The sequence below is a fragment of the Homo sapiens genome, chromosome 3, assembly GCF_000001405.40.
Source record: "Homo sapiens chromosome 3, GRCh38.p14 Primary Assembly".
NCBI classification, from domain to species: Eukaryota; Metazoa; Chordata; class Mammalia; order Primates; family Hominidae; genus Homo; species Homo sapiens.
Window position 1 is genome coordinate 181,285,625 of NC_000003.12, and position 19,504 is coordinate 181,305,128.

A 19,504-nucleotide genomic window follows, 5' to 3' on the forward strand; every position below is an offset into this window, starting at 1 on the left:
TCTAGAAGGTTCCTGAGAGGCAGTTTAGTGGGAGAATAGGAGTGGTGCTGATGGGCAGAGGAGAAAGGAAGGACGGGCCTAGGAGGCTCCGGCTCCTTTAACCCCAGCAGCTCAGTTCCCTTTTATCTGTCTTATATGTGTCTTATATGTTAAATGTTAAGAGTCAAATTGTACCCCCAATTCATATGTTGAAGTCCTAACCCCCAGTACCTCAGAATATGGATGTGTTTGAAAATGGGGTCTTGGGATAAAATTAAGTTAAAATGGGATCATATGAGTGAGTTTTAATCCAATATAACTAATGTCCTTATAAAGAGATTTGGATACAGAGATTTACAGAGAGAAAATGATGTGAAGACCCCAGAAGGCAGCTGCTATGGTCTGAATGTTCTCCTAAATTCATGTGTTAAAACTCAACGGTGATTGTGATAGCATTAAGAGTGAGGCCTTTAGAAGGTGATTAGGTCATGAGGGCTCTTCCTTCATGAATGGGATTAGCAAATTTATAAAAGGGCTGAAGGAAACTGTCAAGGCCTTTTTGCCCTTCTTCATGTGAGGACACAGCATTTTCCCCTTTTTTGCATTTCTGCCCTTTCACCATGTGAGGACACACAGACAGAGCCATCTACAAGACAGAGCCATCTCACCAGACACCAAATCTGCCAGCACCTTGATCTTGGACTTCTCAACCTTTATAACTGTGAGCAATAAATTTATGTTCTTCATAAATTACCCAGTATCAGGTATTTTGTTATAGCAGCGGAAATGGACTAAGATAGCAGCCGTGCGCAAACCAAAGAAAGAGGCCTTAGAAGAAACCAACGCTGCTGACACCTTGATCTTAAAATTCCAGCCTCCAGAACTGTGAGAAAATAAATTTCTGTTATTTAAACCACTCAGTTGTCTGTGGTACTTTTCTTATGGCAGCCCTAGCAAACTAGTATATTAAGGTTCTGAAGAGAGTTAAAGGGGGAAAAAAAGGAGTTAAAGCACTTAACGCGTTATGAAACTGCAGTTCTATGGTTGATTATCTGTGAGAGTCAGATAAATGCTTATTTTACGTTTAAATCACATAAATCATCAGCAAGTAATGATGCTCGAGATGATATAGCTTCATTGGACAAATAGATCAAACAGCTTCTAAATGTTGTTATTTTCCAGCTCTAGAGTATTAAGAATCAATTTGAGCAAACATTGCATCTTGGTATCTTGCAGCATAATTACCATTGTTCCTGAAAAAAAAAAGAAGCAGTTTCTAAGCTGCATGTGGCACAAACCTATTCCTTAGCTTCCCACCCTTTGTACTGAATACTTCAAACTCTGAGCATCTTCTAAACCCATAAAGAAAAAATTGGAATCATTTCACAAAAGCACACAAAAAAGCAACATACATATTTTTTTAGCATATTTTGAAATCTCTGGGGAAGAATTCTACATCTTTTAATATCACTATTTGTTTCAAAATTATCTTGAGTCTCCTGGATCTGAATAAATCACTAACATTGAAAGATAAGCTAGCTCACCAACATTTTTTAGCATGGTATGGTGTAACCATCACCAATTGAGGATGCAGTTTTACAGCAGCGTCACTGTCAAGAAAATTTTCACTGCTGTTTACAAAAGGGAACTAGTGGGAAGGCCTGTAATAAAATTGTTTCTAAAAGGGCTAGATGTAAACTTGGATATTTGGGATCCATTGTTATTTTGCCTGATTCCAAGTTTGTATTATTTGCAAATGAAATTAACATCAGGTTTTTATTTTTTAGGCCTGCTGGAGTCACAATACTGAATCTGCTCTGAAGGATTCATATTTTGTATTTTCTAATTTGAACCTAAATTCTATAGGGGTTTTGAATGGAATTGAAACATGAAACTTAGTTATTACTAAGTGTAAAAAAGGTTAAGATAAATAGGCCAAGTCTATATGTTTACTGTCTTTCATAATAAGCATTGTCTATATAGCATTCTTTAAGAACATAAGTGGGCCGGGCGCAGTGGTTCACACCTGTAATCCTAGCACTTTGGGAGGCCGAGGCAGGCGGATTGCCTGAGGTCAGGAGTTCGAGACCAGCCTGGCCAACATAGTGAAACACAGTCTCTACTAAAAATACAAGAAATTAGCTGGGCGTGGTGGCAGGTGCCTGTAATCCCAGCTACTTGGGAGGCTGAGGCAGGAGAATTGCTTGAACCTGGGAGGTGGAGGTTGCAGTGAGCCGAGATTGCGCCATTGCACTCCAGCCTGGGCAACAAGAGCAAAACTCGATCTCAAAAAAAAAAAAAAAAAAAAAGAACATAAGTGATTGGAGCCTTTTAAGAAACAATCAGACAATTGTCTAATTAGGAAGTGGAAAAGAAAACACTGTTTTATTTACAGTCTACAAAAATAATGTTTTACATGAAAGCATAACTTATTCCAAATGATCTGTTGTGTCAGTATCTGGCAAGTTTTAAAATTAAAATAATTATATGTAAATGTAAATACAGACTATCATTGACCATATTCCGGTGATTGAATATACAAGCTAATTCTCTCACAGGACCATCCTCCTAGGACATAAGCCTGCTGGTAACCACCACAACCAAAATGCATATTCTATTATCTCACTGGCACTCAGAACGCTCACAGATTATTCCAATAGAAAGGCCTGTGGTTTGTAAAAGGTTATTGGCTTTTAAGCCAAACATTGTTTCTTTACTTAAGTATTGAAGCACATGTAATGTGTCACCTTGAAACTGAGAGTTGAGCAATGAAAGTCAACTGCTATGCAAGAACAATAAAGGGATGCATCTTCTTGTGTATGCTGGGAGCTGGCAACCTGGCAGGAGTCGTTCTAAATTGTCATTCCTAAAGGGATGCATCTTCTTGTGTATGCTGGGAGCTGGCAACCTGGCAGGAGTCGTTCTAAATTGTCATTCCCAGCCCTTTCTTAAAGGCTGGAGTGTATCACAGTCTTGTACTTACTGCCACAGATCACTTTAGGTTTGCATAATCTATACTGCTTGTGAGTGAGATTGACTACAGTATCAGGACAAAATGGTATAATTCATCCTCTGTGAAGAGTCTAAAGTAAATTCCCAATTCAGCATGAGTATGCAATTCACCAGTGTGAGTTCTAAATCAGCATCTCTTTATGTTTTCTAGTATCATGCAATGTACTTGAAATAATAGATATCCCCAACTTTTCAAAACTTTGGTTGCATACATTTGCTTGTAAGTTTGTTTAGAATTCAGAGCATATTTTTTCCTATAGAAACAAGATTATGAATATGCCAGTAAAATCCAGTTCCTATTAAGAGTTAATATTGCCAAAATATTGCAAGGCTTCAGCTGTCTTCTTCACTAATAAACAGAACCAGAACAGAATAAAATGCAATTAGAATTAGCTTCATATTTATCTTGGCCACTCGTGTCTAAGGAAAAGAAGGATCAACTAAAAAAAGATAGGGCAGAAAACAGTCTTCTAGACACTTGAAAGACCTTAAAAGAATGAAGGTCTTAGTGACTTCAAGCTTAAAGATGGGGATGGTTTTCCTTTTCTTGACACAAATGCGCTGTTAACCATGCTCTAATGCTAATGCTTATTGACGATAATTAGTATTAGTCTTTGGGCTCACAGTGACGTATGAGGGGAGGGCTTGAGAGAATAAGGGAAATAAATGTTTCTAGGCAAATGTGCAGGGATTTGATGTAATGTAAAGAGAAAAGGGGGCTCTAAATATAAGCATATATGTGAAAAGAATATTTACCCGAATAGAATTTATGATGAATTTAAGGTCGAAATACAACAAAAAATCATCAAGTCTATCACCTCCTGGCCTGCAGAGAAAGAAGGAAGGGAGTAGGGCAGAGGCTTGAGATCTGACAGCTCCCTGTTATCAATCTCTCAGTGATATGACAGCTTGACAGCTACCTGGAGGCGGCAAGGGAGCAGGAGGCAGTGAGGAAGAAGGGCTAGAGCCAACTGGATAGCTGTATGAAAGGGGTGTTTGTATCTTGAGGATGATTCATGACAATAGGTGTTTTAGTATTATACCATTATTTATAAGCATCATAGCCATTGCAGTTTTGTGTCGCTTACTATCTTTCAGGCACTGTGTTAATCCCTTTATAAACATTATCACACTTGGTCTTATTAACTTCAAAGGAGAAATATAATTACACCTATTTTCCAGATAAGGCAACTGAAGTTACATAGAAGTTAGTGTCTTGTCCAAGATAATAGAGCTAGTATATAGTGGCCCTGAGACTTGAGCCCTGAGCTGGCCATACTAAGATGTCACTCTTGCCTAGAATGAGACATGAGCCCACTCTCTGATCCATATTGAGGTTTCGTGCCATTAAAATATGAGAGAAAAAATGTGCACTTAGAACAGTGCTTGGCACAAAGTAAATATTCATTAAACATGGTGATTATCATCTGCCAAGGTAAAATATTGCTTATAAAATACCAACAGGGTCAATGTTGGGTCTTGGTATTTATTATAGTTTTTGCTTCGTTTTGGTAGTCTTTCTCCACCCTTCAGGCATCTCATGGTTATACATTTCTAACTTCTTGAAAATCCACTGATTTTTCTTTCCTGTGCTTAACCAACCTACAAGCCTGCAAGAACAAGGACTGTTCCTGGAACATAGTAAGCACTCATGAAATATTTGTTAGATGGGATCATTTAATTCAACAACTAGATCACTCACTTTGGCAAGAAGGCAAAATAAAAAATTTAGTTCCATGGAGAAATATCTGTACCATATATATATATATATATATATATATATATATATATATACCTGTACATATATGTACATATGTATGTATATATATGTACCTATATACCTGTACATATATGTACAGGTACATATATAAATGGTAATATCTGTACCATTTATATATATATATAAAATACATATATATTATAATATATTATACCTTAAATATTATAATATATCTTAAATTTTTGGTATAATATACCTTAAAATTTTGAAGTAAAACATTAGAAACCGAGTAGGACTTTTTTTTTTGTCCTGATGCTGTAGTAACACATCCTATGGCATACCATACATACCATTAGGCTTTCCAATGTAAATAGTGTATTTTCATGTTTACACTAAACTAACACGTGAGGAATTTAGCATTACTCTTCACCAGTTATATAAGACACCTCATTTGAATTTTTGAATTCTATTCTATTTAATATTCTATTGAATTCTATTTGCATTCTATTGCACACATGGCACTGCCCCTCTCTTCTTACATTTTAAAAAATTACATTTAGAAACAAGAGTGAATATTGCCACTAAGAACGTTCAAAATCATGTTTCTGAGATATATATTCTATCTGCTTTCCTCTGGCTGTGTATCCATTCATGGGTGTAAAAAACAAGAATATTTTATTCTTGTTCTGATATGTCCTACTAATACATGTTTGTGGAATAAAATTGCCATGGTTATTAAAAGAGTCTGTGACATTTTCTAAAGAGTGTGGGTATTGCCTGCACTGCCTGGCTGAATTCCAATTTGGGTAATTACATTCGGCTTTCTGGTTACCTTAGCGATCCTCTCTTTTGCTCCAAGGGTCCTCACGGTGGTTGAGCTCAGCTGAGATATTGCTGTTTGCTGTCCTTAGTTCTAAATAATAGTAGCTGAGGGGTTCTAGTCTTTGGAAATTTAATTTTCATCTATTTTAACAAACAAAATGTACACATTTTGGGGTGTATAATAAAACCTGGCTTTCTAATTGAAATTCTTCTTGGAGTAGAGTGGGCAATCTAATCAGGGAGGAAATTGTGATCCTTGATTTCTTTCTCTGTTCTTGATCATATTTATTATTCCTATGGAAATTGGAGCAATTTTCTAAATTTATTTAATCTCCCCTGCCTCTCAAACTTCACAGCAATTTTCTGAAACTTCTGTTATTGTTCTTATAGTCTGCCTTGAAGTAGAGCTTCCTGTGGGCTTATCCTAGGCCTGTGACAAATGCTAAACTGTAAGGACCTCCCTACTTTGTTTTCCCTGATGGAAACTTTCACAGAATGACATGTTGTAGTTGCTCATTAAATGATGAATGAATGATTTCCCTTTAGGTTAATGTTATTTACTATTAACGACTAAGCCTGTGTTTTGAACACAAACAGACTATTTATTATTCAACCTAATACAATCGTTTCAATGTAAATATTTTAGTTCCTGGACATTAGCATCACTATATCATAGCAGGTTGTGCATAGGGGCAGCTGCTTCCCACTCTGCACCCTCAATATACTCTTGGAAATCTTAAGGGTCCCGAAAGAACCAAGCCAGAATTATTATAAGGGTAATATTGGGACTGCAATCAGTTTATTCTGCACTGGACGATTGAATCTGATCATAAAGTGTAATTCAAAGCATAGGGTTCCCAAACTTTGAACCACTACATCAAAAAAGAAAAAAAAAAACGGAGAAGAATGGTCGCAAGTAGGCAGTATAGTTTTAACTGTCCCATCCCCCCTACCAAAGAGATTCTCTTTCTCCCACTCAAGGAGACATATTGGAATGCAAATGTCTTAGACTAACTTTACTGTAGGGTTGAACTTGAATTGGTTTTAACTTAAAATTTAAAAGGTAAGAAATTCATAATTGTCATTACTCATTATGAGGAGTGAAATTCTTGCTACATATCCCTTAATAGATCGCCATGTATTGTTGTCTTAATACAGATTTAGATTGTTCTCAAGGACTTCGAAGGACTCTCTCTTATACCTTTAAGCCTTATCTTAGGGAACCACTCTTGTGCTTGGTACTTTGGTAACACCAAATTGCTATTCATTTCCTGCACACAGGGGGGTTTCTTTGGCCTGGAATGCCATCTTAGTATTCCTGTCTGGCTGACACTTGTGCACCCCTCAAGACTGAATAAAAAGCCTAGAGGAAGGGGTAGGTGCCCTTCTTCTGTGGTTCTGTTGCATCCTGAGTTTACCTTTGCATTTCTCCCTTGTTATAGCAATGATCTGTTTTTGTATATATGCCTTTTCTGTTACTATTGGTGGAACTGAACTAAGATTTCTTAGACATTGCAAGTATACAGCAAAACCACTTGCTAAGGAGCCATTTCCTTATTGAGATATAATTTTTCCCAGGACTGTAGTCTTCAAGGAGAAAGTGCAAGGAAAATCACGTTTACCTGTGTTTCTTTTTCTTCTTTCCGTATATTAAATGCAGTCCAACTATTTACTGTTAGGAAAACCCCCATGAATTTGTTTTATAGTAAATGAAAAAGGAGCTTAATTACTTTCTAGTTAAGCTCTTAGAACACCCTTTCTAAAAGGTTTATCTGTAAGCCCAAAATTCCTAACTTATGTTTTGGAATTGCTATTTCCTAGTTTTGGAAAATTTTTAAAATTAAATCTTTTTTTCCTTCTCTTTATAAGCACTGAAAAAAACGAATAAAACAAGAGATAAAGAAAGAAATCTTTTTGTCCTCCCTTTAAACCCCAGCAGGAAATGAGTCATTTTGGTAAATGTTTCTATTATTTAAAAGTCATAAGTTCATGGGTTTTACTCTAAGATTGACTCATTGCTATGATGCCATGGTGTCAATGAATACCAAATCAAAAAGCTACATTGTATTTAAAATGTAAAAAAATGAGTATTATATTCCTTCAAGAGGCAGTGTGATATTGTCAGAAGGGCACTGACTTGGGCATGAGAAGACTAATGGTCCAGTCTCAGATTTGCCACCAGCTATGGGACTTTGCCTCTTTGGAACTCAGTCTCCACTTTTGCAGAATGGTGAAATTTAGAATTGGGCTGCTAAAACAGTAGCGACCACAACAACTAAAACTAAAAAACTGGAAGAAATGTTCAACTACTCCATAGAAGGAAACAATTGGAGGAAATCCAGACATTTGCTAAAGATCCTCCCTTTCAAATGGATAATTGAGAAAACATGTTTTAGTTCTCTCATTTGATAAAGTTACTAAATTCATAAAAAAGACTGATGACAAGGTACAGGTTTAATTTTTAAAATCTTGCATGTAAACCTGGGATACAATATTGAAAATCAGGAGGCTTGTGGTCTGGTTCTTGCTTTTGGAAGAAGGCTGGCATTATAGTACCCTAGAAAGACTGTATAGGGATTGTTAAGCCAAATGAACCAGCCTTGACCAAACCTAGGAGGCAATATTGCCCAGCTGTAAGGAGCATGGGCTTTAGAATCTCTGGTTGCTCTTGTTAATGGTGCGACTTTAGGCATGTTATTTAACCTCTGTGGAGATAAAGTTTCTCATTTGGAAAATGAGGATCATAATATTGACCCATAGGGCTTTTTGAAAGATTACTTGGGTTAATATAAGTTAAGGGTACAGTAAATAACAGCAATTATTGTGAGGTGACAAATTATTATTTGTAGTCTGAGTCAGATGGGGATTGAGTCCCAGACTTGTTGGGGCAATCATCTCAGACTTAGTGCCAAGAGTCTTTACCCCGAATGATAATCATAAACAACATTTATAAAGTGGGTTATAGAATTGCACATAGATTATCTCGTTTGCTCGTTATAATAATCCTGGATACAGCTAAAGGTCACCCAGCTAGTAAGTAACAGAGCTGGGGCTCAAACCACATTTTCTGCCTCCTAACCCTTATTCTGTCCACTGCGATTCTAGTTCTACTTAGCACTAATGAGTCTGTGGCCTAGGTTAATTGCCCAGCTTCTCTATTTAGCTTAATTAATAAAATAACTAGAAAAGCTTTAAAAATACTTTTATAATTTCAGATAGTTTGTGGACAGGTAAATGTAAATTCTAATGAAAATATGTTGAAACACAACTTTATTGTAAGTATTATATTGCTATTACTATGTGTGTAAATAAGAAATTCAGAATAATTCTGACCTTTGTTTTGGGGATTGAGATAGTGAAATTTAGGAGGGATTCACAGAGACCTTCAACTTGAGTGGTAACATTGTACTTCCTGAACTGGTATATGGTAGTTGGTGTATCATTTGTTCTTTTTATCTAATTGATATAGAAATATGTCATAATAAACTTCTCCAAAAAAGACTGGAAGGAAACTCACACAAATAGAGAAATATATTGGTGCATAATAAATGTATTTTAATATTTTCATAACCTAATGCAGAAATGTTTTGCAATGTACATTCATAATATAAGGAGAAATTTAAGCATTATAAAGAACACATTTATATTCCCTAATAGCCCTAGCACTTCTCGTAGTTAATCTTGACTTTACATTCGGGGACATAAATAAATCTGTATTTCTCTTGGCTGGGACTGAGGATGTCGTGGCAGCAGTGTTAAGAAAAACTAAGAAAATTAGTACTTTTGAGTAAGTTGCCTTGTTTATGAACAGCTTATTTTGAAGAATAGACAGTTCCTAATTTCTGCTAGTCAAACAAAGGTGCATATGGACCTCAGCTGCTGGCAATATGTCAGAATCCTCATAGCACTGCTGCCCAAGTGACCCAAGTTCCCACAGGCATAATGCTTTATAGCTTACAAAGACTCTCTCTATACCTTATCTCATGGGAGCCTCACAGAAACCCTATGATAGAGTCATCACTATTAGCATTTTCACCATTTTAGAAATTGAAGAAACCAAAGGCTAATTGTAGGATAAATCAGAACTAGGACTGGAACCCACATCATTTTACTGCAAAAGCCCATGATTGTCTTCACTACATCATAACGTCCTTTTATTTGCAGCTCTCCATCTGATACTTTGTTTTCCTGAGCTAATCACTTACACCAGCACCTTGGTTTTTTAAACTTTTCTTCTAATATTAAAGCTCTTGACCTCTTTCTTATTGTAATAATTAAATATGACGAAGACTACTCTAGAGTTTACCAAATGTCCATGGGTTTCAATGATCCTAGGCTGTTTATATACTTTCTTTACAGCTTTTTCTTATAGTAGCAGAAAAAGTAAGTTGACTTTTTCATTGATGTTAGGAAATATAAGGATATCAAGGCAAACACTCCACCACCCATCCTACCCCCCAGCCCCAAATTAACCAAACTACACAACAACCGTGTTGTCTCTCCTGGGGCCCAAAATTTTGTTAGTGGTTTAAGTGAAGACAGAGGATTCTCTGTATTTTTGTCTTAGCATCTAGCACATTGCCTTGCATTTGGCATTCAATTGATTTGTTTTAATTTTACCTAAACCTTTACATTATCTAGTTCCAGCCTGTGTCTCTGCTGAGGTAAAAAGCACAATTATACTCAAATTGATCAAAATAATGATTTAAAAGAGAACTATCCTTTAATGATCATTTACACAGAGACTCATGCTTTTTTCTGTCATTCTTGAAAACTTTATGCCATATTATTATAAATTGTACTGCAAATGTTCATTCTCAACGTGAGACTCACTTTTGAGAGAATTAATTCATACCGTCCAGTTCCTTTTCTGGGAGACATCTATTATTCTTCCTACGAGTTTATCCAAAAGAGAAAATAATGTTTTATGCTAACCAAAAATGAAGGCTACTATGTGAACAATGAGCATGGTGGTTTTTCTTGCATGATTGCATTTAGTTCTCCTCATTGACCCTGAGAGGTAGGCCATGTTATCCTAATTTTACAGATGAGCAAACAGATTCAAGGGGGGAAGTGACCTGACATGTACACATCATACACCAAGAAGTGGCAGAGCAGGTGTTTTGGAATCTTTTCATAGCATCGCAATCTCTACAAAGATGAAAGGTAGATGGAGAACAATCATTTTATAGACCATTTTTGCAGGAGCTTCTTCATGGTCATATTGTCCACTGTTTATACTGTCGATAGACCAGCAACCACCTTCATAAGATATCTGGCTTTATGGCCTATGGAAAATGGATTAGACTATTAATTCAGAAAGAAAGCACTCAAAGGTTGTGGGTGAATTTGGGAGGTACACTGAGGAGCCAGTTTTCATATGCAATAATACAGCTATGGAGAATAATTTAACTAAATGTCTTAATGATTGAATATGTATATTTATGAATATGAATATACACACATGAATATATATGTCCACACATATATAGTCTTCAAATGTTCCAGGATGAGGCTGAAGCTCAGTTCAACTCAGCAAATATTGTGCGTGTGTTTGTGTGTGTGTGTGCGCACACACACAAACTTACTAGGTGCCAAATACTCTTAAGGGAACCCAAAGATGAGTGAGATGTGATTTCTGCCCTACTGGAAGTCAAGATCTAGTGAAGAGAATTGAGGTTGATAAAGAGCTTCAATATAGACAAACACGGATTTATTTTTATACTCATTTCTTAATTGATGATATTTACCAGGATTTTATCTTCAGCCATTCCCATTTCGTACTTTTTTCTTACCCTCAGGAAACCATCTATTTTCTTTATTTTGGCCACCAATGATGATCTGTAGCTCCAGAAGTTTCTCTCTCCTGGATTCTAATCTCCTATTGATAGCTGTCTTCTGTGCATTTCTGACTGTGTTCCTTAGATATTTTAAATGCTAAATATACAAAAGCATGCCTCCTTTTTATATTCTCTGTTTAGTTTAATAGCATCACTCTGCATCAGTTTTCTAGAGACCTCAAATGCATCATTTATCTATCCACCAGCTTCCCATCCCTCATTTTCAGTTGTTCATCAAGTCCTGTGAATGTTGTCTTCTAAACATGCCTTAAATGTGATCTTGCATCTCTGTCTTCATGGCCACAGGTTTAGTTCAGCTGCATTTCATTTCTTACCTGGACAATCATCCAACAATCGTCTTAGCCTTTTATTTCATCCCATTCAAAGTCATTTTTAATACAGTTGCCTGGTTAATCTTTCTAAAATATAACTGATAACATATTTTTTGCTTGCTAAATGCTTTCAATGCTTCCCTTCTGCCTCCTGGAATAGGTTCAAATCATTATCATAGCCCTGCTAATCTGTTATTGATCTATTCCTTACTGCCACTCCTCTTTTGCCAAGTACACCTGACTTTGGTTCTGGGCTAATATTCAGTTATTATGTACAAATGAAACCATTTTCTATTCTGATTGGCCAGTACTCATTCCATACTGATTGTTAAATATTTTGAATATCACCCTTTCTTTAGTGGTACCAAACTGTCTTTCTCCCCAGTCATGCACATATTTTTATGCTTCTGTGCACTTTGAATAATCAGTTTTATCTACCAGGAACATTCTTCTTTTTTTCTTTACCTGGCAAATTTATATTAATCCTTTGAGATCCTGCTCAAATATTACCTCCTCTATAAAATCTTGCCTGCCCTCCCTCCACACAGGCAGAATTTTTCTTCCCTCCCTGTACATATCTGGATTAAAGGACTTATCATGTTACATTGTAGATATTACTTACTGACCTAGGGGATTTTTAAGAAAAAAATATTTTTAAAATCTCCAACATGTAGCTTAGTATTTGGTGTACAGCAAAGGCTCTCATAAAACATTTATTGAATTGATAGATAGATAGATCTAGAAAAGTTTTATGGGATGGAATTCAAGATTGATTTTGAAGACTAGGCTGAGGATTGAGGCTGGAAAGGCATTCCAGGATGGAAGACTGCATGTGACAAGGGGCAGGAAAGGTCAGTATATTATGGAACAGTGAGCCTAAGATTAAGATGCAATGGGTTATAGGTAGTAGTTTAAGATAAGTAGGTTGGGATCAAAGAGTGGAGTGTTCCAATAGCCATAGTAAGAAGTTTGGACTACATCCTATGCATTAGAAGACTGTGAGCATGGGTGACATTTTCCTCTATGTTTCAGTGAGACATCTCTAACAGCACTGTGCTATATGCATTGAAGACCCAGAGCCTGCAGGTGGCCACGGTCCAAGAAGGGTCAGATGAAAAAGTCGCCATCTAAATCTATGAGATTGCAGAGGTGGAAATAAAAATGAAATTCATTTTGGAGGCAGAATTGGCAAGATTTTAAAATTAGTAAAGTGTATGACTAAAGGAAGAGCGAGAAATCAATTATAATTACAATGTTTCAAAATTAAGTGACTAAGAGACCAGAGATGGTGTATCATGGGATGATTCACAGAGGTTATGTTTGGTGAATTAAAACAAGACAGAAGAACATAGATGCTACCAGCTATAGACACATATTTCTACCATCCTTGGAATCTTGATTAAAAGTTTACCTCATATGTTTTCTCTGTATTTTTCTATGTTTAATTCCCAAGTGTAGTTACAAGCCTCACTGGAAAATTCAGAAGCAATGGTGATAAGCACTACCAGTCACTACTGTAGGAACTTGTTAAAGATAATTCAACTAACAGAGACAATTATAAATGTTCCTTTTTTACGGAGCTGGGACCACAAATGTTACCTCTCAAATATTCGTTGTCAAAGCAGCTTATTTTATATATTGGAACATACATTATTTTGTATTATTGGCTACACCAAAACATCATTAACTTAAAACACAAGAGAGAAAATACTTATTCACTTAACAGGGTTTGAATTGCTCATGTTAACCAATATGGTAACCAGAAGCTACATGTAGCTGTCGAGCCCTTGAAAGTGGCTAGTCCGAAACTGAGATGTGCTGTAAATATAAAATGCACACTAGAGTTTGAAGACTTGGTACAAAAAATGAAATAATGTCATCTATCTTATAAATAATTTGATAGTTCCCTTACATGTTGAAATGCTAATCCTTTGAATACATTGGTTAAATGAAATACATTATCAGAATCAATTCCACCTGTTTCACTTTACTTTTTAAGTGTGGCTCCTAGGAACATTTAGAATTACATATGTTATTCACATTACATTTCTATTGGACAGTGCTGGAATGGTGTTCTTATTTAGCAACCAGCCAACAGGCATCTTTTAAGTTCTTGTGTACAGATGATTAAGGCTTGAAGTTAGCTGAGAAGTTGCAATTGCATAAAGTGATGTATTTTTAGGGCTTGATGACATTTCAATCAATATACAAAATGTTGGTTAAAAAAGCAGATCTAAATGTCTGTGGATTTGATCTGTCTCCCCTTTTAAACATTAGTTCTGTTTTTTTTACACTATCTCACCAATATCCTATTAGGTGATTTATAATGATCCATTAAATCTTCTGTTTGTAGCAAAACAGTCAGGAATTTGATTTGCAAGTTCCCTTTGGTTAGTGGAAAAGAATTAGCACATATCCACATATGGGTGTCAAGGATGTAGAGGCCTGGAATATAATCACTATGCTTAGTCCTCAAACTATATACTCAACATATCTTATTCGTTCTCTGAAGAGTCAGAACATACTTCTCAGTGTCATAGGCCTTGGAGTCATCCAGAATATTATTTGTTAGCAACAGCATAGAAGAAAGAAAAGAAAGAGGAGAGAGAGGGGAAGGCGGAGAAGGAGAAGAAGGAGAAGGAGGAGGAGGAGGGGAAGGAGGAGAAGAAGGAGAATGAGAAGGAGGAGGAGAAGGGGAAGGAGGAGAAGAAGGAGGAGGAGAAGGGTAAGGAGGAGAAGAAGGAGAATGAGAAGGAGGAAGAGAAGGGGAAGGAGGAGTAGGGGAAGGAGAAGGGGAGGGAGGAGAAGAAGGGGAAGGAGGAGGAGGAGGAGGGGAAGGGGAGGGAGAAGGAGATTATTTGCACTTTATAAATATTGACGTTTTGGATTAAAAGATATTTTCTATGTGTTGACGGCCTTACTGATATTATATTTGCACTGTTCTTCCAGATAAACCATGTGAATATCTGTGATTGTACAGAATTCACTATTTTTTAAGTAAAATGACTAGTCATTGGACAATATTTTAATTTCAATTTTTTGAGCAAGGCACTTGATTTTTTAATGCCTTAGTTTCTTCAATCTTCAAATGGGATAGATTTTTATTTTGTTTTGTTTTTATGGTAATGAGAAGTAAATGCTTTATTTTTTAAAAAGCTAAGTCTCTAATTATAATGAAAAGTGCTTCAAAGCTACAACAATATCCTGACTAGATCATAAGTGGCAAAACAACAATGTAATACAGAAGATGCAAAGCATTCTTTGAAAATGGCGACTTCGTTTTAAAAGAATTTCTATTGCGTTAGAGTAGTGCCTATGAAAATAAATAAGTAGTGAAAAACCATTCCTGAGTACTCAGAAAGTATTTATGAATACCAAGATACGAATGTAGTTTAGCTTTGCAATTCCGAATTAATAGCCTGCCTAGGGAACATCTCTTATTTAAAAAGGGCTGCCTGAATTAAGGTTAAGTTATGTTTGGTTTCCCAAGTGCCAGTCAGGATGTGTTTTTATATTCTGATTACCAAAAAGCATTTTATTTCCTTTTTAAAAAGAAAATTTGCATGAGTTGCTGAATAGCCCACATCATGGACTAAAATGCTCTAAAAGTATGTACAAACAAAGCAAAAAGAGGAAAATGGCTAACTTTTCAAATGAATACGGTGAATTGAATTATTCAAGACTAGACTGCATATTCAAATATGAGTTATACATTTTGACAAAACATTGTTAACATTTCTGTTGACTATGAATAAGTATTAATAATACACAGATTGTACCTAGTATTAATAATACACAGATTGCACCCTGTATTCTGGCTGCAAAATACGCCAAATGTACCATTGTCTCTCTGCATTCAGAGTGGTATATATTTTTGAGTCTGCATTGTAATATATGATACTGGTCTCAATATCTACTCAGTCTCAAAAGAAAGTATCTGTGTAAATGGATTATTTTTATATAACTTATATGTTTTAAAATACCAATGACACTTAAAACGTTTTGCTTTTTAATTAAAATCTTTAAAATAAAAGGAATTAAGGCATTTAAATAAAAAAACAAAAGCCCAAAAAACAAAAGCATTTTATTCACTGAGGCAAAGACACATGAAATACTTTCTGCCAGGTCAAGCTGTCTTTCTGGATTAAGGTAGCAGACTGGTCCCCAAATAAGGAGGAACAATGTCAGCAGCTAAAATAGCTCAGGGATATGAAGCAGTGTTCAGCTTTCAACCCATATGTTTATTTTGAGCTGAACGTTTGGCCATTGATTCAATAATTGTTTATTGAGTTCCTTTTATGCATCAAGCCTTAGCAAAATAGACATAACTACAGGCTCATGGTACTTACAAACTATTGGGGGTTGGAGGGGGGGATTAACAAATAATGACTAGACAATTGTGCAAGTAAGTACAGTGGTAAGAAGCAATGGTTAAGAGCACACACTCTGAACCCAGGCTTGAGTTTGCATCCTGGCTTTACCACTTGTTAGCTGCAGAAGCTTAGGCAAGTTATTTTATGTTGATATGCCTCAGTGTCTTCCTCCTCAAGGTTGCTGTGAGGTTTCTGTTAAAACATATAGTAGTCTAGCACATAATAAAGTTTATATAATTTGCTATTATCATTCTTTTTCTTACACTGTAATAAGTGCTGCAAGAGTAAATATCACCAGGTGACTGGAACTGGGTGTAGGAGTTTGGAGAAAGCTTTCCTAAGGAAAAGATGTTTGAATTAGGATCTTAAGAATGGGTAGGACTTAAATAGATTGAGAAGATTGGAAGTGATGAAGGGAGTGGAATTGAAGTTTTAAAGAACTTTCCAAGCAGTAAAAATAACATGTACAAAGACTGAGGCAAGAGGGAACATGGTAACTAAACAGCCCCCAAAGCAGCCCAGGGTAGCTGGAGGGAGGGAGTGAGATGGGGAACCAAAAAGAAGGGTGATGATCTTTGCTCACAAGAGGAACTCAAGTTTTGCTTCTCCCCCCACCCCGCCTTCTGTCTCTCTTTCTCTCACTCTCTCTCCTCTCTCTTTCTCACAAGGGAGGGAGAGGATATTTTCTGTGTCTTCTCTGCCCAGCCTTGGAATTAAAAATAATTTACAAGTGGCTCTACATATATAACCAAAATGCAACATTCTGTCTAAATATAAGATATGAATTAAATTGCCGCTTGGTATTCAACTTATCTTTCTATATGCATTATAATTGTCTATTTGTGTTTATGCTCCACAGCCAAACCTAAGTGGTGCAACTAGCTGGAAGGTTTCCTTTTTTTTTTTTTTTTTTTTTTTAGAATACTCAATACAAAAGAGGTGGGATGATTGGGTACTAATTAAACCTAAGTAGTAAGGGACTTAAGGAAAACGAGATTTCTGTATTTCTCCTAATGGGATGAATGTCATGTTCCAATTCCTACTTTATGTAAAATCCATTGTACAATATGTAAAATAATTCTCCAAATCTTGATTTCCTCAATTGAAAATGACCCTGAGCATAAACTATAAGTAGAGGAAGGTTTGAATTTCTTGATCTTTGGTACTCTTTTGTTCTCTCAGTACGTGGAGTCTTAAATCAGCAGAATAATTTAGGAATGGTAGATATTGAAACAACTAATTTTTCTTTTCTGTAATCTGCATAGACTTCAAAATGCCTACAAAGCACAAAGTGCCAGTTCATATAATTTGTTGGCAAGGATAAAAAGAAGAAAGGAAATTATTTCCTAAGCGTGTGAATCAGCCCAGCTTTAACAGATATTTTTCTGTCATGTGCAGCCTGAGGGCTTATGCCTATCTGAGCTTTATTTGACAATTACCACTTGCCAGCATAATTAAATGATAATTTATAAATACTAAGAAAGCATAATGGGGAAGAGCAAATAGGTGCTTATCAGGGCATTGAATAAAGTTGATCTGCTCCAGTGGCAATTTTCATCTCTTATCTTGGTTGTTAACTGGTCTCACTTTGTATGCGTGTTTTGTTTAGGTTTGATATTTGTTAGGGTGATATTATCTACCTCATATACACCTTTTCCCTCCATACAAAATTCTAATATTTCTTTTGGTATTCATTTTGCAACCAATGTATTTACAAAATATTGCTTATATTTTAATTCATAATATAAATTTAGGATTTAGAATTGCACGTATTACTAGACAAAACCCCAAATAAATAGGAATTTTTCTGTTTGTCTCCCCTTCCCCCCATCTTTTTTCAGTGAATAAGGTCTTTTCTGTGTTGTGTGTGTTATTTTCTTTTAATCGGTTTTTTAATCACCTGGGCTTTGCAGTTAATTACATTCCACAGAGTCTCTTCATCTATTTCCTAGAATGCTGGCAGATTTTTTATAAGTAAGAGAGAAAGCACACATGTAAGCCATGGACTCCGGTGAGGAGGGCTTCCTAATCTTGCAGTGATAAGAATGATACTTTATATGCAGCATGGACATTTTGCTATGTTCCTACAGAATATAGAAATTACCCAAAGAAGAATTCTGTAGGGCAGACAGCTTTTGTCCTATCAGTATCTCTTCTCAAGTTTTCTTACCTATTATAAATATTAGGGCAATCTGTGCAGAAGTTGTGGCGAGGCCTTGGACAGAAACACAGATTTGTCCTGGGTAACCTAGATAAAGCAGTGCAAGAGCAATCATCTATTTGAATGGAAACAATCAGTAGAATGACAAAAAAAAAAAATGAATTTCCATGCTTTTAGAAAAGCAGGTTTGAGGAAGGCAAATGGGGGAAGAAAGCAAGACACATTAGTGGGTCATGAAGAGACTAAGGTCTCTCTCTCGCTCACTCTCTTTTTTTTTTAGCCATCACAAAATTAAATAATTTTAGTAACTACTGATTAGGATTGTGGTGGTTTGAGTGAAGAGTGTGCGAATGGCTTATCAGGAGAATAACAAAATAAAGGGCTTTGGTGTTTAAAGTTGTCAATTCCTCAAATTATTCAGCATTTTGTCCTTATAAATAGCAATTATTTGCCATTTCAGAGCTGAAAAATTATCTTTCATATTCAAATATTTAAATATACAGTGCCGTTACTGGGGCAAAAAAAAAAAAAAAATCCTAATGTCGGAACCGATTTTTATACAAGGAATAATTTGAAAGTGGTGGATTAGTTTCCACCTTTTGAAACACAGTGCTTTCTGTAATCTTCAAACATTATTTAGGATAATGGAAGCCATCATCCTGGTTCTCAAATGTTAGCACTTCCATTAGAATTTGCAGCTACCTCTTATTTTTTATATTAAAATACAAGGCTTAAAAGGTATTATCTTACTAAAGGGGGGCAATTGTAGAGATGATTTGATTGAATAAAGGAAAAAGCTGTACAGGCCTTTTAAGATCAAGGATGTATTGATGGAAAGCTATCATTAGAGACAATTAATGTTCTCCAAGGGAAGAAATTGATTATGGACAAAGATGGACCCTAAGGAGCAGATATGTCTTAATGCCCTAAGGCCTTAAGGATTATACATCTCATTCACAGCATCTGTATTTTAACCCTTTGTTGTAAATAGAATACTAGCTTATTCTTGCAGTGACATGAATTAAATTTATAAAAAGGAATGTGCCTTGTAAAAGATGCTCATAGTGATTGACTTTTGATTCTTTAAATAATATTAAAATAATTAAATTCATGGTATCTTTTCTCTATACTGCCCTTTAGAGTAGATCTAGACATAGATTTGTAGAAGAAATAAAATTAGATAGTGATGGCCAGTCTTCAGCATTATGGGAGTGTGGTAACGCCCAATAATTATGGTTAAAGACGTGTTTTCATTAGGAGCCCCT

General features: G+C 35.8%; 1 long non-coding RNA gene across 3 annotated transcripts in view, besides 1 other annotated feature; it reads left to right on the forward strand.

Annotated features, from left to right (window-relative positions):
* Positions 1 to 19,504, forward strand: part of SOX2-OT (SOX2 overlapping transcript) — a 685,549-nt gene that overhangs the window by 228,945 nt on the left and 437,100 nt on the right. The window lies entirely within an intron of this gene.
* Positions 6,771 to 7,970: an enhancer, noted in NCBI's record as "CDK7 strongly-dependent group 2 enhancer chr3:181010183-181011382 (GRCh37/hg19 assembly coordinates)". NCBI's record gives its function as "activates an origin of replication core promoter dependent on BRD2, BRD4, P300/CBP, MED14 and CDK7 cofactors, with strong dependence on CDK7, by STARR-seq in HCT116 cells {active_cell/tissue: HCT116}" and the evidence as "EXISTENCE:reporter gene assay evidence [ECO:0000049][PMID:35650434]".